Source organism: Homo sapiens, chromosome 8 (genome assembly GCF_000001405.40).
Source record: "Homo sapiens chromosome 8, GRCh38.p14 Primary Assembly".
Taxonomy (NCBI): Eukaryota; Metazoa; Chordata; class Mammalia; order Primates; family Hominidae; genus Homo; species Homo sapiens.
In genome coordinates, this window is record NC_000008.11 from 8,086,338 (window position 1) to 8,107,576 (window position 21,239).

Sequence of the window (21,239 nt, forward strand, 5' to 3'; positions counted from 1 at the left end):
CCTGTAATCTTAGCACTTTGGGAGGCCAAGGCGGGTGGATCATTTGAGGTCAGGAGTTCAAGACCAGCCTGGCCAACAAGGTGAAACCCCATCTCTACTAAAAATATAAAAATTAGCCAGGCAGTAGTGGTGCTTGCCTGTAATCCCAGCTACGTGGGAGGCTGAGGAAGGAGAATTGCTTAAGCCTGGGAGGCAGAGATTTGGTGAGCTGAGATCGTACCACTGCACTCCAATGTGGATGACGATTGTTTAACCACCACCAACATGGGTTCTGAGTCCAACTGTTAACATGAAGATGACATCCATTGTGGTCTTGTACATTTTGTTGCCTTTCTGGGGTGAAGGACATTGGTGACCATTTGTTTCCTCTGGAGCGGTCGATTGGTCATGAACTTCCTGGTCCAGATAGTTGCTGTGTCATTCATCATGGTGGTTGATCCTCAGGTAGTTAGGGAGGAAAATAAACAAGAAGTTATATATTTAAAACCACGTTTCAATTTTACACCTGATTAATTGACTAAATAAAGGGCATTAGCACTTCTACTTCCTACAGTCCCTCCCTTTACCTCTGGAAACTAGTGATTTCTAGGTTGTTTTGTGTTGTTAAGGTGGGCCACCTTTTCTTTCTGTTCTGCACTCATAGTCCTATTTTTAAATGGATTCACCTCTCATCACTAGCCTTTTGTCATGGTCATTCAATTCACAAGTTGCTTATTTTTTAATTTCTTGGCTGACTAAATTTTATTATGAAGACTTTTTTTTTTTAAAGAGCTCAGAAATACTGTATTCTTTAAGTTCTTGAACTTGTGATAGTGTCTATTGCCTATTTTGATTGGGCAATAATTTAGCTGGCTATAAAATTCTTGGATTATACTCTATTTCCCTTAGAAATTATAGGCACCCATCCACTGACATTTCACTGGGCTTTTTTTTTTTTTTTTTTTTTTTTTTTTTTTGACATGGAGTCTTGCTCTGTCACCCAGGCTTGAGTGCAGTGGTGCGATCTTGGCTCACTGCAAGCTCTGCCTGCCGGGTTCACACCATTCTCCTGCCTCAGCCTCCCGAGTAGCTGGGACTACAGGGGCCTACCTCCATGCCTGGCTAACTTTTTTGTATTTTTAGTAGAGACGGGATTTCACTATGTTAGCCAGGATGGTCTCGATCTCCTGATCTCGTGATCCACTGGCCTTGGCCTCCCAAAGTGCTAGGATTACAGGTGTGAGCAACTGTATGAGCCCAGCCTCATTGTGCTTTGTACTGACCCCCTCTCCCTGGCCTCTTCCAGCTTGTCTTTTTCTCTCCCAGTAGTTTCTTCATGATGAGGCCATGTGCTATATTCCATGAGATATTTCACACTCAAAGAAGACTTCTTTTATACTCTTGTGATAATTTGTCTGGGAATCACTGTCTTCATTTATAAGGGAGTTTGTAATAAATACAGTAAAAGAGAAACACACAACATATTTTGAGATATCAGAGAAGGGGGAAACCAATTCTATTAATATTTGGGGTTAGCAGGGAAGGCATAGTTAAGAGGTAACATTTGAACTAAGCCTTGAAATAAGGGAAGGATTTGGCCATCCAGTAATGGGGAGAGAGTAGAAACAAGACATGATGGTTAACGGTATGTATCAATTTGACTGGGTTGTGGGGTGCCCAGATATTTGGTTACACATTATTCTGGGTGTGTCTCTGAGGTATTCTGGATGAGGATAACATTTAATTGGTAGACTGAATAAAGCAGATTGTCCTCCCCAATATGGGTGAGCCTCATCCAATCCACTGAAGGCCTGAACAAAACAAAAAGGTAGAGTCAGAGAGAATTTGCTCTTTTTACCTGATTATATTTGAGCTGGGACATCAATCTTCTCCTGACTTTAGATGTGGACTCGAGTTGGAACAATATCATTGGCTGTCTTGGGTCCCCAGCTTGCTGGCTGCAGACTCCAGGACTCCTTAGCCTCCATAACCATGTGAGCCATCCTTTACAACAAATCAATCTGTCTCTATGTGTATAGATCTAACTCTATCTCTCTGCTCTTTCTCTGGAGAACTTAGAGTAATACACAAGGTTACATTAGAGAAGAGGATGACCCAAGGAAAAGCGTGGAGGCAGAAAACTGCAAAGAGGGTTTGGGAAGACGGGGGTCCTGATGGGGAGTTTGGATTTCACTGTGTGTAGCATGCAGAATCTTTGAAAATATTCAAGAGGTGAAAATTGTATTTGTGGAAGAACACCAGGAGTATGTGAAAAGAAAAACACTCACTCCATTTTAACTCCACTGAAGGGGGCATCAGAGGGATGCACTGAGGACATGGGTTGGAGGGTAGTTGAGGCCATATCTGGAGGATCTTTACTTCTAGGCTGAGTCTGAAGTTATCTTTCTGGGGAGTGGGAGATTACAAATCTTTGAGCTCCACTCAAGAGATGGTTTTGCTAACAATGGCAGGGCGAAGGTGGTGGTGGTGGTGGTGGTGGGAAACTGTTATCATGAATTCTAATTGGGCTTCTGTTATTCTAGCTGAGAAAGTTGGGGAATGGACTTTCAGTAGAATAATACAGATCTGGGAATCAACTGCATGGAGGAGGTAGTTATAGGTGATGAGATGGCTCAGGGACAAAGTTTGGTAGAAGGAGAAAAGATACTAGGCTGGTACAAAAATAATTGCTATTTTTGCCATTACTTTTAATGGCAAAATCCGCAATTACTTTTGCACAAACCTAATAGGATGTAAACTTCGGAGCCATCTGCATCAGAGGGATTGATGAAGATCAACAAAGTTTGGGAACACAGGAAAGGAGCGGGGAGGGTAATGACTTGAGGGCATAGCAGGGATAATCAAGGTTTTTCTTATTAGCATGTGGAGACTTAAGCATGACTATATGTTAAATGCCTGGCACATACATGGTGCAAAATATTTATGAGTGAAATGACAAGTGAAGGTGGTGAGTCATGGGAGTTCCAAGGGAACGGGTGATAAAGGGAGGTCTCAAATGAGGCACAAGTGGGGAAGGTAGCTTGGGAAAGGAGAAGGATGTTTCTCCTTATAAGATGGGAAAGGCAGAGGAAGAGGGTCAAGATACAGTGATCTAGGGGTGAGATGGAAGTGAGTTGAGAGAACTCAGCTCTGGGCTCTTTTCACCCCTAGGGATGGGTTTGGGGGTTTTTGAGATATGGAAGAGGCTTAAAGTCAATTGTTATGGCAAATATGGTTTGGAATTTATTTGCGATGCTTAAAAATATTGCTGAACAGAAGTGAAGTCTTTCCTAGAGTTGGACGGTGAGATTATTTAGTGGAACTACGAGATCCCTGTTGTGATTCTTTCCAGTATCATTCAGCAGCCCTTGGTCAGTTGCGAGGCAAGTCATCAATGGGGTATGGAGATTTTCCAGGTGGGTGTGGTTGAAGGCAGGGAAGAACGAGTTTAGGAGCACATTACAAGAGGAAGGTAACTGTTAAGTCCAGGCTGAGCAGGAATGTATAGCAAGAAGGAAACATGAGGTTGTGAAGAGAAGTTTAGAGGGATGAGGAGTCAGGAGAGGTGAACAGTTGCAGGACGTAGCTAGAGTGGCGATGTTAGATCTTGGGGCCAGAGAGCTTTACAATGAGTATGAAGATCAAAGGGCATTAGAATCAAGCTATAAAGAGCCACTGTTTGATGTTGGTTTGTAAGTATGCTGCAGGTGGATGTCTGCACATTGATGGTGAGAACGTGGTCACCCTGGCCCTGCTGGGTCTTTGCTAAAGAGACTCTGCTCTGTTCTTGGGGCCGTTTTCGTCACCTGATAAGAGCAGTGGTTCCCAAATTGTGTTCTTTGGACCATCTGTATAAAATATTCATAGGTCAAGGATAAGATGGAAAAACAGAGAAAATGTCACAGACATGTGCCCATTGGTGAAAGACCACCAGCTGTCCTTTTTGGAGGATTTTTCTTTATTCTAAAAATGTATATATTCTATTCTATTAAAACATTTTTGTATTTGCATTTTTTTCTCTTTTATGAAATGCCATGGGGTAGAAATTTGTAATGTATCCAATTCTCCTGTCTCCATGCATTGCAGTGTGGTGGGGGAAGGGATGTGGCTAGTACTGGCCAAGAGGCTGGGGGCAGAGGTGCAGTGTTAGACTTCTAGCCCGAAGCATTTAATTCTTAGTACAAGGCTCTCTAGCATTCTTCTCCCTCTGTTCCCTGCTTGGTGATACTCGAGGTATTGCAACCCCCATTAGCCTTACTCTTAGGGAAAGTTTGATGGGAAACAGAGCACCCCACACCTCCCTGCAGATGTAGCATGAGTAAGAAACACAACTTCTGATGTTTGAAGTTACCAAGATTTAGGAGTTGTTTGTTATTGCAGCAAAACCTCACCTATTCTGACCAATCATGGTGGAAATTCCGTGTGTGTGTGTGTGTGTGTGTGTGTGTGTGTTTGTGTGTGTAACTGGTAGTTTAAAAAATTTCCTTCTTACCAAAAAGAAAAAGAAAATAGCAACCTTATGTTGGTTCTCAAATTAAAAAAACAAATTTTACCCGTTTATAAAATAGAAAAATCTGAGAATCTGTAGCTTAGAGAACTACTGTGTGGGATGTCTTTAAAGACCAGGTTATTTTATCAGCTCCTAACACCCCTTAATAGAAGCTTAGCCAAGACTTGGACTATTTCAGTCTTTCCCATTCCACATTCCATGGACTCTTGAAGAGACATTGATAAAACGGTGCAGCCATGAACCACCCTAACTCAATCCTAGTGGCAGAACCTGCCTTTTACTGCAGAATGAGCTTCTTGCTACAGTGATACTTCAACCCCTTAGATATATCCTGTACTATTTATATTAAAACACGACCAATGCTTTTGCTTTGTTGTCCCCCAAATTAAACACATTAATCACGAGAACCCAGAGAATTGGATTTAGTGTACCTGATTCCAAACTGTCAGTAAGAACATAATTAAGTTATATTTTTCTCCAATTCAAATAAAAGAAAGTTGACAATAAAATGCTGATCAATATGTGTAGCTCAGGAGGTAGAGCCTGCTTTGAGATGCAGAAGTGTTTGCTTTTTTTAGATCTATATTCTTGAGTAAAGAAAAAAATCCATCTCTCTTTCCTAGAAGGGAAGAGTTTCAGAACTGGGCTTGGCAACAGCCTGACTATCAGAGGCTGAATTAAACAAATAGGTACCTCCCTGGAATGAATGGTGGGTTTCTCCAGTTCGGGAAACCGTGCTTTTATGTTGGAGTTTGCTTTCTGTCTTGGTCTCCGGATGTGTGTATCTGTGGGTGGATGTCTGCATGCAAATGGCAGTGTATACCTGTGTGGGTGTGTACAAAATTCCCATGTGAATCTCAGCTTTGTGGGGATTTCCGGATCTTGAGCCCAGCAGATGCCATTTGAAGAAAAATCACTTGAAAATGAGATAGAAAGAATGGAAACTAAATCCTAGCTCTAAAGGCACCAGGCTGATTAAAAAAAAAAAAAAAAAAAACTCTGGATCTTCTTTGTTTTGGACTCTACCTACCTCCTAATAACATTTCCGTTTCCTATGAGATGATTAGAATGAAAGAGATCCTGAGCACAAAAGAGCAGATACTGTGCGATAGTGTGTATGTCAGGGTGTTAGCTGTGACACTGCTGGCATTTTGGCTCAGCAGTTTCTCTGTTTTATGTGTGGGGGTTCCCTGTGCATTTCAGGATGTTGAGCGGCATCCCTGGATCCCTGGACTCACTGGATGCAGTAACACAACTCCCCCCAAGTAGAGACAAACCCCAGTGTCTCTAGATATTGCCTAATGTCCCCAGGGGACAAAATAGCCCCATCTGAGAACTGCTGCTTTCATAAAGTACAATGTCAGGTGAAATAGGTGGAGGCTGTTTGTAGTCAGGGGTTAATAGAGATGGAAAAGACCCCAGGAATATCCTGGAAGGGGCTGGAATATTTTGTTTCTTGAATTGGGTGTCAGTAATATGGAGATGTTCAGTTTTTTGTTGTTGTTGTTGTTGTTTTTTTGAGGCAGGATCTTGCTCTGTCACCGAGGCTGGAGAACAGTGGCACCGTCATGGCCCACTGCAGCCTCTGCCTCCTGGGCTCAAGCAGTCCTCCCACCTCAGCCCTCCTGAATAGCTGGAACTACAGGCATGTGCCATCACTGTTGCTGAATTTTTGTATTTATTTATTTTTTGTAGAGAGGGGTGTATCACTATGTTGCCCAGGCTGGTCTTGAGCTCCTGGGCTCAAGCAATCTGCTCACCTCGGCCTCCCAAAGTGCTGGGATGACAGGCATGAGCCACTGCGTCTGGCCAGTATGTTCAGTTTGTAAGGAAAGTACTGTGTTGACCTCTTCTATGTGCACATTTCTTTAAGTAATAATTCAATAAACCATTTAGAAAAATTGGTCATAATAGGAGTGATTTGTAGAGTGATTGGCATGAAAGCTGATCACCTTAATTTGAACTACTCTGAAATGAGCACCAGGGGACACCAAGAGGACCCTTTCAAGGTGTCATAGCCAAGGAGAGGAGTGTGTTGTGTACATCTCTGCATAAAGGATTTGCTGATTATATGGAAGGATGAAGCCTCCTTCTGAGGACAGAGGCAGCAAAGCAAGTGGAAGCCCAAAGCATTGAGCTTTCTAAATGGACTTTGCTAAAATCTTGTGGATGACTCATGCTCTTAACATACACCCATGTACATATTGTCCATATAAACGTTAATTCTGTAACAAGGCCCACACTTAAGGGTTTTTTTTTTTTTCTTTTGGGACAGTCTTGCTTTATTGCCTAGGCTAGAATACAGTGGCATAATCGTGACTCACTGCAACCTCCGCCTCCTGGGTTCAAGCAATGCTTGTGCCTCAGCCCCCCGAGTAGCAGGGACTACAGGTGCACACCACCATGCCTGGGTAATTTTTGTATTTTTAGTAGAGAGGGGGTTTCACCATGTTGGCCAGGCTGGTTTCAAACTCCTGGCCTCAAGTGATCTGCGCACCTCAGCCTCCTAAATTGTTGGGATTACAGGTGTGAGCCACTGCGCCTGGGCCCACACATAAGGTTTGAGTTGAGATAGAGAAACTCTGGCAGGACTGAGGAATTTGGCCACAGTCTCTGGGAAATATGCACAATTTCTGGAATCTTCTCTACTTGCAGAGTTCCCACTTTCTATCTGTCTCCTATTTATTCAACAAACTTGTATGGAACCACAGTGTGTCTAGAACTTGCCAGGTATGGAGGATAAAAAGATGACTGAGATCGGACATGGTGGCTCATGCCTGTAATCCCAGCACTTTGGGAGGCCAAGGCAGGCGGATCACTTGAGGGCAGGAGTTTGAGCACAGCCTGGCCAACATGATGAAACGTCTCTACTAAAAGTACAAAAATTAGCCAGGCATGGTGGCATGCATATGTAGTCCCATCTACTTGGGAAGCTGAGGCAGGAGAATCGCTTGAACCCAGGAGGCAGATGTTGCAGTGAGCTAAGATCACACCGCTGCATTCCAGCCTGGGAGACAGTGAGATTCCATGTCAAAAAAAAAGATGACTGAGATACAGACTCCATCAGGGTTGACTCTAACACAAATTAGGTAAGAGCCCAAGGTCTGGCTGGGCAAGGACCTTGATCGGCCTCATCCTGCAGTGTCTACTAGAATGAAGAACACTTTTTTCTTTACCCATGAAAATGTTCTGTGCTTCATACCTACAATACAATTTGTGTTAATTCTGCAAAACTTGCCGCATAACTCTGCCTGTATTCTTAGCATTTTTCTTTTGAGAGATTTCTCAACACATCATCTTTGGACTATGTGGAATTGGAAGTTTACTTAGACTCAACAACAAGTACAGGAAAGTTAGTTCTTAGTCAAGAGTTAGGTTTTCAAAGACAGTGGATAAAATAAAAAATCTAGTACAGTCAAGATTATACGTGCAAATCCCCTCATCATTCATGAAGTTTAGCAGTCAGTCTTACCGTGGCTCACCAGGTCCAATCCATACTTTTTCCTCCATGATTGGAGCAGAGGATGATTTTTTTTTATGAGCAACTGATGAAGTCATTTAGAGACCATTTGCAGTAGGAGCCCTGTGTACTACAGACCAATCAATGTGCCCTCGTGGCTCCATTTCTGCCTCTCTCCCTCTTTGTTCTTGCCAAGTACCGATAGTTCATTTTCCATAGATTAAAAGAGCCCAAGTTGGGCCTATACCTAGAAGTACAATTGCTGGGTCATTTGGTAACTCCATGTAGAATTGTTTGGGAAGCTGTTAAACTGTTTCTCACAGTGGCTACACTATTTTAATTCCTACCAGCAGTGTATGAAAGTTCTAGTTTCTCTGCATCCTCACCAACACTTGTTATTTTCTGTATTTTTTTTTTTTTTGAGACAAAGTCTTGCTCTGTAGCCCAGGCTGGAGTGCAGTGGCACAATCTCAGCTCACTGCAACCTCTGCCTCCCAGATTCAAGTTACTCTCCTGCCTCAGCCTCCCGAGTAGCTGGTATTATAGTCACCTGCCAGCATGCCTGGCTAATTTTTGTATTTTTTTAGTAGAGACAGGGTTTCACCATGTTGGCCAGGATGGTCTCAAACTCCTGGCCTCAGGTGATCCACCTGCCTCGGTCTCCCAAAGTGCTGGTATTACAGTCATTAGCCACCGCACCAGGCCAATTTTCTCTATCTTCGATTCTAGCCATCCTTATGGGTGTGAAGTGGTATCTCATTGCGGTTTTGATTTCTGTTTCCCTGATGAAGAATTTCATTGAGCATCTTTTCATGTGCTTATTGGCCACTTGTATGTCTTCCTTGGAGATGTGCCATATTTTCATATTCAAAAATGAAAGCACAGGTCCACACAAAAATTTGTACATGAATAATTACAGTAGCATCACTCTTAATAACACAAAGAGGGAATTAATCCAAATGCCCATCACCAGATGAAGAGAGACACCGATTGTTGTCTACACACATGGTGGAATATTATTTGATCACAAAAAGGAGGAATGTACATATGCTACAGCGTGGATAAACCTTCAAAACAGATGAAAGATCACATTCTACATGATTTCATTCAGATGGAAATCTATAGAAATAGGAAGTCGATTAGTGGTTGCTTAGGGCTGGTAGGGGCATGGGAGGATGGGGGTGTTAGCTAAATGGTATGAGGTTTCTTTTTGAGGTCATGAAATGTTCTAAAATTGACTGGTAATGTTTGCGTATATCTCTGAATATATTAAAAACCATTGAAATGTAAAAAATGCAAAGAAAAAACAGCCCAAGTTGCAATTTTATTCAACACTTGATTGCTTTAAAAATAGATTCCAGGCTGGGCATGGTGGCTCACACCTGAAATCCCAGTGCTTTGGGAGGCTGCAGTGGGAGGATTGCTTGAGGCCAAGAGTTCCAGGCCAGCCTTGGCAACATGGCAAGACCCTGTCTGTACAAAAAAAGAAAAAATAAATATCAGCTGGGTACAGTGGCTCACACCTGTAATCCCAGCACTTTGGGAGGCTGAGGCAGGCAGATCACCTGACATCAATTCAAGACGAGCTTGGCCAACATGGTGAAATCCCGTCTCTACCAAAACTATAAAATTTAACCTTTTGGTACTCTAAGCAGCACCATGGCGGTTGTTAAGAACAAGTGCCTTATGAAAGGTGGCAAAAAGGGAGTTAAGAAGAAAGTAGTTGGTCCATTCTCTAAGAAAGATCAGTATGATGTGAAAGCACCTGCTATGTTCAATATAAGAAATATTGGAAAGACTTGGTCACCAGGACCAAAGGAACCCAAATTGCATCTGATGGTCTCAAGTTTCTAGTGTTTGAAATGAGTCTTGCTGATTTGCAGAATGATGAAGTTGCATTTAGAAAATTCAAGCTGATTACTGAAGATGTTCAGGGCAAAAGCTGCCTGACTAACTTCAATGGCATGGGTATTACCTGTGACAAAATATATTCCAAGGTTGAAAAATGTTCAACAATAATTGAAGCTCATGTTGATGTCAAGACTACCGATGGTTACTTCTTTCTTCTGTTTTGTGTTGGTTTTACTAAAAAACACAACAATCAGATACTGAAGACCTCTTATGCTCAGCACCAACAGTCTGCCAAATCCAGAAGAAGATGATGGAAATCATGACCTGAGAGGTGCAGACAAATGACTTGAAAGAAGTGGTTAATAAATTGATTCCAGACAACATTGGAAAAGATGTAGAAAAGGCTTGCCAATCTATCCTCTCCATGATGTCTTCATTAGAAAAGTAAAAATGCTGGAGAACCCTGGATTTGAAAGGAATAGAGCTTCCTGGTGATGGTGGTGATTCTGGAAAACCCACTAGGGACGAGATGCGTGCTAAAGTTGAATGAGCTGATGGATATGAACCATCAGTCCAAGAATCTGTTTAAAGTTCAGACTTAAAACAGTAGCAAATAAGAAGTCCTATTTGTGAAAAACAAACAAGAAACAACAATGAAAGAGCAAAATTAGCCTGGTGTGGTGGTGCATGCCTGTAATCCTAGCTACTCAGGAGGCTGAGGCACGAGAATTACTTGAACCCGGGAGACAGAGGTTGCAGTGAGCCAAGATTGCACCATTGCACTCCAGCCTGTGCAACAGAGTGAGACTCTACAAAAAGAAGAAAAAAAAAATAAGTATCCGGGCTTGGTGGCATGTGCCTGTAGTCTCAGCTACTCTGAAGGCTGAGATGGGAGGATGGCTTGAGGCCAGGAGTAATTTGAGGCTGCAGTGAACTATGATTGTGACACTGCACTCCAGCCTGGACTTGAGAGCAAGACCCTGTCTCTTATACATACACACACAAACACACACACACACACACACACACATATATATACACACACATACATACATACCCAGGCTCTACTTCTAGTGATTTTGACTCAGTAGGGTGGGGTATCCCCTAGGGATCCTGCTGTTCAGCCTGGTCTGGGATCCACTTTTCATTGGGAACTGAGACACTGGCTGTGAGCCCTTCTGTCCTGAGATGTAGAGGTCATGGGGATGCAGGTTCAAGCTTAAGGAGACCTGACTGTGTGTTAGGTATTGTGTTGAACATCATCTCTTACTCTTACAGCAACATCCGTAGAAGGTTGATGATGTGTCCCTGCTCTACAGATGAGGAACTGAACTTTCAGAGGAGTTTAGCTTGTTCAAAACTTATTCTTCCTATTGGAAACTTTGTACCCTTTGACCAGTGTCTCCAATCCCCTCCCTTTCCTTCACCCCATCCCCAGATAACCACTGTCCTACTCTCTATTTCTGTGAGTTCTACTTCTTTAGATTCCACATATAAGTAAAATCATGCAGTATTTGTCTTTCTGTGCCTGGCTTATTTCACTTAACACAATGTCTTTCAAATTCATCTATGTTGTTGAAAATGACAGGAATTCTTTCTTTTTTAAGGGTTAATAGTATTCCGTTGTGTGTATATAGTCCATTTGCTTTATCTTTTCATCCACTAATGGACACTTAGGTTGATTCTATATCTTGGGTATTGTGAATAGTGCTGCAGTGAACATAGGAATGTAGGGATCCCTTCGACATATTGATTTTGATTTTTTTTTGGTCTATATCCAGAAGTTGGGTTGCTGGATTATATGCTTTGAAATCTATAGCACAGTAGCGTGACTATAGTAAATAATAATGTATCTTTCAAAATAACTAAGTGGGTACATTTCAAATGTCGCATCATGAAAATTGTCAGTAAATTAGGGGATGGACGTGTTCATTAGTTTGATCTAATCATCCCACATTGTATACACATATCAAAACATCACATACATGTGTACAATTTTGATTTGTCAATTAAAATAACTTTAGTTAAAAAAATAAGTAACTTGTTCAAAGCCCCAGTTGGGATTGATGGAGCTGGGACATGCACCAAGGCTGTTGCTCTCAGGCCCACAGAGTCCTTGGTCCACGAATGTTGAAGCCCTACCTGAGATTTCAACTGAGATCAGTGCAGGGATTCAATGTCTCAGAATCATCCCATCCTCCAGGGCCCACAAGTCCATGACCGCTGCCTCTACCACCGACCCTACTGACCTGAAATGTGGCCCCTGCTTTCATTTCCGGGAGCATACAACAATTACACCAAGCATTGATGGGTTTTGTTGACTTCATTTGAGATGTGGGGTCGTGGAGAGGGTCCCATGATCCTTGTTTGGTGTTGGCCAACTCATTGACTTCTCTCCTTTGACTTCACCCTTCCCTTTCCTACTCACCTCCTCTGTCATGGATTGTTCTGGTAATTCTGAGCCCTGGTTCCTTTATTTTGCTGATAACCTTCTCTCGTGTCTGCAACGAATCCCAAAAGTGTGTAGTTGAGCTGACTGCAAGGTGCTTGACACGCAAGAGATTCCACAAATGGGATTCGGCCTCTGGAAAGTGGTGGTAGTTCCAGATTTATGTGGATGTTACTTTATTTTTCCGTATAAAATCTATTCTTTAAACTCTCAAGCTCTTGGGTCCTGGCTGCAGTCCTTTGCTGGTGGTAGTGGGCTGGGTACTGCCACAGGGGAGAAATGCTGCCCACTTAGAGAAAGGGAAACTGGTTCTCTTTTAGAGGCAGAGGGAGGTTCCCAGTGTCAGTTTGTTTGGAGGCAAAATGGCTGTTGTATTAAAATTGCCCAAACTTGGGTTGGTGCCTTGTGTGTTTAGAGCTCAAAGCCACGATTGTTTTCTTTTTTTTTTTTTTTTTTTTTTTTTTTTTGGTGGTTGGTTTTCCATCCTTTTGCCTGGCAGGTTCCTGCTAATAGCTTCAACCTCAAGAGTCCCATTATACAGACACTAATAGCACCTACTATGTGCCAGTCTGTAGTGCCTACTATGTGTCAGGCATTGGAGATAATATAATGATGAACAAGATACACATGGCATTTGGAAAAGACAGTCTACTTCCCACTCTCAGCCCACCCCAAAGAGAGGCCAGAATTGGGCTTCCAAAGATCTCAGATGCCCTTGCAGCACCTCCCTAAAGAGGGCGGGTGAAGCTTTGGTGTCTGAAGAGAATTTGGCTGGACAATCCCCCAGGTTTGGAAGGATGGGAAGGAGCTGCCATCTGTGTTTAAGGTGAGAAGTGGGGGAGTGGCTGGATATCAGAGGAAGCCAAGATGAAGAGAAGGTTTTTGTGAGTTCCTATGCATAGTGGAGACCTGTTCTAGTGAGGGTCCCTGGGGCTGAGCCTGTGGGTCAGTGGAATGATGCTGTGAGTAGGGTCTTGCTATAGCAGGTGGCCCAAAGAATGTTGATGGATCATGAGCAGGTGGAAGAATGGAGAGTTCAGGGGATGTAGTTCCTACCTGGCTTTCCAACAGTGTGTAAGCCCAGAATTCTTACATAAGCCCATGGAGAAGGGAAAGGAATGCTGGTAACGACAAGATTGAATTCTCCACCTGCCAGGCATCCAGGGACTCAGAGCAGATTTAAGTGAAGTTACAGAAATAGGAATGTGACATTTCCTACATCCGGGTGTGCTGGAGCAAATGTATTCCCTCTCTGGTTTGTGGGGAAGGAGAATGCTAACAGACAAGACTCCAGGTTTTCGCTCTTAAACCTGGTGCCTAGAAATGCATTTTCTACTGGATGCAGACAGAAGCTCCATATAGACATATCCATCGCTGCATCTCTCATGTCTTGTGTTCTCCCTAATTTTCCCTTTTTAACCCACAGACGAAGAAAGTTCCAGCATCACTTCTGGCCTCTCAAGAGTGAGTTAGGTGGCCAGGTGGGGTTATTCATGCCTGTAATCTCATAATGAAGGGGTGGCCTGCCCCTCCACACCTGTGGGTATTTCTTGTCGGGTGGGATGAGAGACAGAAAAGAAATCAGACACAGAGACAAAGTATAGAGAAACAACAGTGGGCCCAGGGGACCGGCGCTTAGCATACCAAGGACCTGCACTGGCACCGTTCTCTGAGTTCCCTCAGTTTTTATTGATTATTATCTTCATTATTTCAGCAAAAATGAATGTAGTAGGAGGGCAAGGTGATAATAAGGAGAAGGTCAGCAACAAACATGTGAGCAATAGAATCTATGACATAATGAAGTTCAAGGGAAGGTACTATGACTGGACGTGCATGTAAGCCAGATTTATGTTTCTCTGCACCCAGACATCTCAGTGGAGTAAAGAATAACAAGGCAGCATTGCTGTAAACATGTCTCGCCTCCCACCATAGGGTGGTTTTTCTCCCATGTCAGAATTGAACAAATGTACAATAGTGTTTTATACCGAGACATTCAGTTCCCAGGGGGCAAGCATGAGACAGCGGCCTTCCTCTATCTCAACTGCAAGAGGCTTTCCTCTTTGACTAATCCACCTCAGCACAGACACTTTATGGGTGTCGAGCTGGGGGACCGTCAGGTCTTTCTCATCCCATGAGGCCATATTTCAGACTATCACATGGGAAGAAACCATGGACAATACCCAGCTTTCAAGGGCAGAGGTCCCTGCGGCTTTCCACAGTGCATTGTGCCCCTGGTTTATTGAGACGAGAGAATGGTGATGACTTTTACCAAGTATACTGCTTCCAAATATTTGGTTAACAAGGCACGTCCTGCACAGCCCTACATGCCTTAAACCTTGATTTCATACAAACATGTTTTTGTGAGCTCCAGATTGGGTCAAAGTGGTTGGGGCAAAGTGGCTGGGGCAAAGCTACAGATAAACAACATCTCAGCAAGCAATTGTTTAAAGTACAGGTCTTTTTCAAAATGGAGTCTCTTATGGCTTCCCTTTCTATGTAGACACAGTAACAGTCTGATCTCTCTTTCTTTTCCCTACATATCCCCCTTTTCGTTTTGACAAAACCACCACCATCATCATGGCCCCTTCTCGCTGGTCGCTGTCTCTCTGGAGCTGCTGGATACACCTGTAGACTAAAAATAGAAAGGACAGACATACAAGGATTAATAAAAAATTTGCAATAGTGGAATTTCCGGTGGTTTTAACCCAAGTGACGGGGGCAAGAGGACGGTGTGGCTGCTGCGGCACCAACGCAGTCTCCCACCTCCTTTGTGTCTTAGTTGCTGTTTCTCATAGTTTTCAGTCTTTCTCCTCACCTGCTCACTCGCACCTTTTATCTCTTTGTCTCTCTTCTCTTACGGTCTCTCTCTCTCTCTTTTACACTATTTCTCTCCCCAATCTCTTTCTGTGTCTTTCTCTGATCTCTGTCTCTTTTTCTTTCTCTTCTTCTCCCTGGCTCTCCACATGTGCCATTTCCTTGGTGGATTGTAACTTCATTTGTTCTTCTGATATCACATTTTGTTCACCCTGCGAGTCGATGATGCTCGATTGCGGGTTTTCTGTCTCTGCAGAGGCACTTTCATTTGCATCTCTGATGGGTTCATTGTGGAACTTCAAATGTCTAGTGGGTATCCAAACAGGAAGCTGATTTTCTCCTGGTGAAACACAAGCAAAACCTCCCCCCATGTTATCACCTTACCTATTTCCCATGTTTTGTTTTTGTTGTCTTTCCACCAAATCAGTTTTCCCTCATGTGGGCTATTCTTTTTACCAGTAAAATGTTCTGCAGAAGTAGTGGTCTGATTTCTATGTATGTCTAGAAAATCTAAAGTATAGAGTGTTTCATTAAGTTGCATCTGGGGAGTGCTATACTCCTTACTGTCTTTTTCCTTTTTTTGTTTAACCAATTGAGTTTTGAGTGTTCTAAGCAGGACAGGTAAGATCTGCTTCTGGCAGTCAGCCAGGTCTCCTTACCCTGAGCTTCCCTTTCTGCCTGTGACTGAATGGGCATGTCAGGGTCTAGTAGAGGATCCAGGAGGAGGAAGCCTCATTAAATTCTATTCTGCAGCAATTGATGGCCACCCAACTTGAACAGTGGGGGCTTATCATCTCATGTACTAAGATCAGAGATAGCTGATGCCAAGGTTGGCTAAATTAGTAGCTTGAGATTTTAGGTTTTTCATTTGAGGTTTCTATGCTGCTATTGTCTTCTGCTCTTGGTCACAGAGGCTGCCACAATCCGCATGTCAAGTCCTCATGTGACAATATCCAGAGACAGCAAGGAAGAGGTACAGTGTATTCCTGCATGTTTCTTTAAAAAAAAATGTTTTCGATAGAGAATAATTGTACACATTTATGGGGTCCATGTGAGATTCTGGTACATGCGTGCAATGTGTAATGATCAAATCAGGGTCTTTGGGATATTAACCACCTCAAACATTGATCATTTCTTTGTGTTGGGAATATTTCAAATCTTATTGTTATTTAGAAATACATAATAATTCTATTTATCAGGATATAAAATCTATGTACACAAATCAGTAGCAGTGCTATACACCAACATCTACCAGGCTGAGAATCAAATCAAACCCTTTTATAATAGCTGTAAAAATAAAATACTTAGGAATATACCTAACCAAGGAGGTGAAAGACCCCTACAAGGAAAACTACAAAACACTGTTGAAAGAAATCACAGATGACAAAAACAAATGGAAACACATCCCATGTTCATGGATGGGTAGACTCAATATTGTGAAAATGACCATACTGCCAAAAGCAGTCTACAAATTCAATGCAATTCCTATCAATGTATCATCATCATTCTTTATAGAACTAGAAAAAAAATGCCAAAATTCATTTGGAACTAAAAAAGAGTCTGCAAAGCCAAAGCAAAACTAAGCAAAAAGAACCAATCTAGAGGCATCACATTACCCAACTTCAAACTATATTACAAAGCTATAGTCACCAAAACTGCATGGTGCTGGTATAAAAATAGGCACATGACCAATGGGACAGAGTAGAGAACCTAGAAATAAAGCCAAATACTTAACAGCCAACTGATCTTCGACAAAGTAAACAAAACCAAAGTAAGAAAAGTACACCCTATACAACAAATAGTGCTGGGATAATTGGCAAGCCACATGTAAAAGAATAAAACTGGATCCTTATCTCTCACCTTATACAAAAATCAACACAAGATGGATCAAAGACTTAAATCTAAGGTCTGAAACCATAAAAATTCTAGAAGATAACATTGGAAAATGCTTCTACACATTGGCTTAGGCAAAGAGTTTATGACCAAGAACCCAAAAGCAAATGCAACAGAAACACAGATAAATAGATGGGACTTTAATTAAACTAAAAGCCTCCTGCACAGCATAGGAAATAATCAGCAGAGTAAACAGATCACCCACAGAGTGGGAGAAAATTTTCACAAACTGCATCTGACAAAGGGCTAATTTGCAGAATCTACAGGGAACTCTAATCAGCAAGAAAAAAAGAATCTCATCAAAAAGTGTGCCAAGGACATGAATAGACAATTCTCAAAAGAAGATATACAAATGGCCAACAAACATGAAAAAATGCTCAACATCACTAATTACCAGGGAAATGCAAATCAAAACCACAATGCAATACCACGTGTAAAAGAAACAAAAAGAGGGCGAGGCGTGGTGGCTCACGCCTGTAATCCTAGCACTTTGGGAGGCCAAGGTGGGCGGATCACGAGATCAGGAGTTTGAGACCAGCCTGACCAACATGGTGAAACCCAGTCTCTACTGAAAATACAAAAATTAGCCGAGCATTGTGGCAGTTGGCTGTAATCCCAGCTACTCAGGAGGCTGAGGCAGGAGAATTGCTTGAACCCGGGAGGCAGAGGTTGCAGTGAGCTGATATGGCACCACTGTACTCCAGCCTGGGCTACAGAGCGAGACTCCATCTCAAAAAACCAAAAAACAAAACAAAACAAAAAAAACAAAAGTTGATGTTGGCATGGATGTGGTGAAAGACAACGCTTTTACACTGATGGTGGGAATGTAAGCTAGTACCACCACTATGGAAAGCAGTATGGAGATTCCTTAAACAACTAGAAGTACATCTACCATTTCATCCAGCAATCCCACTGCTAGGTATCTACCCAGAGGAAAAGAAGTCATTATATGAAAAAGATACATTTGCACACATGTTTACAGCAGCAGAATTCACAGTTGCAAAACTATAGAACCAGCACAAATGTCCATCAATCAATTAGTGGATAAAGAAAATGTGTTATATATATGTATACCATAGAATACTACTTAGCCTTAAAAAGGAATAAAATAATGGCATGCATAGCAACCTGGATGGATTTGACCATTATTCTAAATGAAGTAACTCAGGAATGGAAAACCAAACATAGCATGTTCTCACTCGTAAGTGGGAGCTAAGCTATGATGATGCAAAGGCACAAGAATGAAACAGTGGACTTTGGGGGCTCAATGGGAAGGTGGGAGGGAGTGAGAGAGAAAAGACTATACATTGGGTAAGCTGCTTTGGTGATGGGTATGCCAAAATTTCAGAGATCACCACTAAGGAACTTATCCATGTAACCAAATACCATCTGTTCCCTAAAAACTATTGAAATTAAAAAAAGAAATACACAACAAATTGTTGTAGTCACTTTCTGTGATAATGAACACTAGAACTTATTCCTTCTATTATATATTTTTATATTCATTAATCAACCTCTTTTCAAACCCCTCCTCTTCCCAGCCTCTATTAACTATCATTCTACTCTTTATCTCTATGATATCAATTTTATATAGCTCCAGGGCACACAAGTCCATAACTGTGGTCTCTATCCCTGACCCTAGTGACCTGAAACGTGGCCCCCACTTTGATTTCCAGGAACATAAACCGCTCACATAAGTGAAAACATGCAATAGTTTTCTTTCTGTGAATGGCCTAGTTCACCTAACATTATGACGTTTAATTTCATCCATTTAGCTGAAAATGGCAGGATTTCATTCTTTTTTAAGGCTGAATACTATTCTGTTATGCGTATATTCCCATTTTCTTTATCCATTCATCCATTGATTGACACTCAGATTGATTCCATATCTTGGCTATTGTAAATAGTGCTGCAGTAAATATGGAGGTACAGATATCCCGTTGATACACTGATATCCTTTTTTTTGGATGTATACCCAGGAGTGGGATTGCTGGATCACGTGGTAGATTTGTTCTTAGTTTTTTTGAGAAATCTCTGTGCTTTTTTTCATAATGACTGTACTAATTTACATTCCCACCAACAATATACAATAATTTTCTTTTCTTCACATGCTTGCCAGCATTTGTTGTGCTTTGTCTTTTTAATAATAGCCATTCTAACAAGTATGAGATGATATCTTATTGTGGTTTTGATTTGCATTTCCGTGATGATTAGTGATGTTGAATATTTTTTCATAAACTTGGTGATTTGTATATCTTCTTTTGAGAAATATCTGTTTGTTTTTTGATAGTTTCTTTTGCTGTGCAGAAGCTCTTTCATTTAATTAGATCCCATTTGTCAATTTTTGCTTTTGTGGCAATTGCGTTTGGCATCTTTACCATGAACTCTTTGCCCATCACTATGTACTGGAGGGTATTGCCTAGGTTGTCTTCCAGCGTTTTTATAGTTATGGGTTTTAAATTTAAGTCTTTAAGCCATCTTGAGTTAATTTTTGTGTATGGTGTAAGGGAGGGGTGTTGTCTTTTCACTCTGTTGATTGTTTTCTTTGATATGCAGAAGGTATTTAGTTTAATATAATCCCATTTGTCTGTTTTTGTTGCTTGTACTTTTTAAGTGTTAGCCATACAATCTTTGTTCTCAAGCTTTTCTCCTGTGTTTACTTCCAGTAGTTTTATAGTTGTGGCTGTTACATTTAAGTCTTTAATTGATTTTGAGTTTATTTTTGTAAGTGATGAGAGATAAGGGTCTAGTTTTATTCTTCTGTGTTTGGATATCTAGTTTTCCTGGCACCATTTAATGAAGAGGGTATCCTTTATTCAATGTATGTTCTTGACAGCTTTCTTGAAAATCAGTTAGCTGTAAATATGTGGATTCATTTCTGGATTCCTTAGTCTGTTTCCTTTGTTTTTGTGTCTTTTTTAATACCAGTACACGCTGTTTTGGTTACTGTAGCTTTGCAGTACATATATATATATTTTTGTTTTGTTTTGTTTTTTGAGATGGAGTCTTGCTCTGTCGCCCAGGCTGGAGTGCAGTGGCACGATCTTGGCTCACTGCAAGCTCTGCCTCCGCCTCCAGGGTTCACGCCATTCTCCTGCCTCAGCCTCCCGAGTAGCTGGGACTAAAGGCACCCATCACCACACCTGGTAATTTTTTTTTTTTTTTTTTTTTAGTAGAGACAGGGTTTCACCATGTTAGCCAGGATGTTCTCGATCTCCTGACCTTGTGATCCACCCGCTTCAGCCTCCCAAAGTGCTGGGATTACAGGCATGAGCCACCGCGCCCGGCCGCTTTGCAGTATATTTTTAAATCAGGTAGTGTGAGGCTTCTAGCTTTGTTCTTTTTGCTCAGTATTGCTTTGGCTATTTCGGGTCTTCTGTGGTTCCATATGAATTTCAGGGCTTTTTTTTTCCTGTTTCTGTGAATAATATAATTGATAGGGATTATACTAAATCTCTAAACTGCTTCGAGTAGCATGGTCATTTTAACAGTATTAGTTATTCCAACCCACGAGTATGAGATGCCTTTCCATATGTTCCTGTCCTTCTCAATTTATTTTATCAATGTTTTGTGGTTTTCACTGCAGAGGTTTTTTGGTTTATTTTCCCCCTCCTTGGTTAAGTTTATTCCTAGGTATTTTATTTTTGTAGCTATTGTAAATAGAATTTCTTCTTTGATTTCTATTTTAGCTAGTTTCTTACTGGTATATAGAAACATTACTGATTTTTCTAGGTTGATTTTGTGACCTGAAGCTTTACTGAATTATACATCTGCTTTTTAAATTTTTTTTATTTTTTATTTTTTATTTTTTGAGATAGAGTCTCACTCTGTTGCCCAGGCTGGAGTGTAGTGGTGCAATCTTGGCTCAGTGCAACCTCCGCCTCTCGGGTTCAAGCAATTCTCCTGCTTCAGCCTCCCAAGTAGCTGGGATTACAGGCACCTACCACCATGCTTTGCTAATTGTATTTTTTGTAGAGACAGGGTTTCGCCATGTTGGCCAGGCTGGTCTCAAACTCCCAACCTCAGGTGATTCGCCCACCTTGGCCTCCCAATGTGCTGGGATTACAGGCATGAGCTACCATGCCCAGCCTAATTTACCCATTTTAAGAGTTTTTTGGTGGAGTCTTTAGGTTTTTCTGTTTACAAGTATAAGATTATGTCATCTGCAAAGTGAGACAATTTGACTTCCTCTTGTCCATTTTCGATGCCTTTTATTTGTTTATCTTGTCTGATCACTTTGGCTTGGATGTCCCATACTGTGTTGAATAAGAGTGGTGAAAGTG

At 41.7% G+C, this 21,239-nt stretch overlaps 1 long non-coding RNA gene, 1 other non-coding gene and 1 pseudogene across 2 annotated transcripts in view; 1 reads left to right on the forward strand and 2 right to left on the reverse strand.

Annotated features, from left to right (window-relative positions):
* Nucleotides 1-2,603: 2,603 nt before the first annotated feature.
* MIR548I3 (microRNA 548i-3) lies at nt 2,604-2,752 on the reverse strand. Its single transcript, NR_031689.1, has one exon. It is a non-coding gene; the product is annotated as a microRNA 548i-3 (primary transcript).
* Nucleotides 9,585-10,433, forward strand: RPS3AP31 (RPS3A pseudogene 31; annotated as a pseudogene).
* The window catches only part of FAM85B (family with sequence similarity 85 member B), a 126,742-nt gene continuing 119,927 nt past the window's right edge, over nt 14,425-21,239 (reverse strand). Inside the window, exon 4 of the long non-coding RNA NR_147089.1 lies at nt 14,425-14,881. This is a non-coding gene — a long non-coding RNA (family with sequence similarity 85 member B). The remainder of the gene's footprint in view (nt 14,882-21,239) is intronic.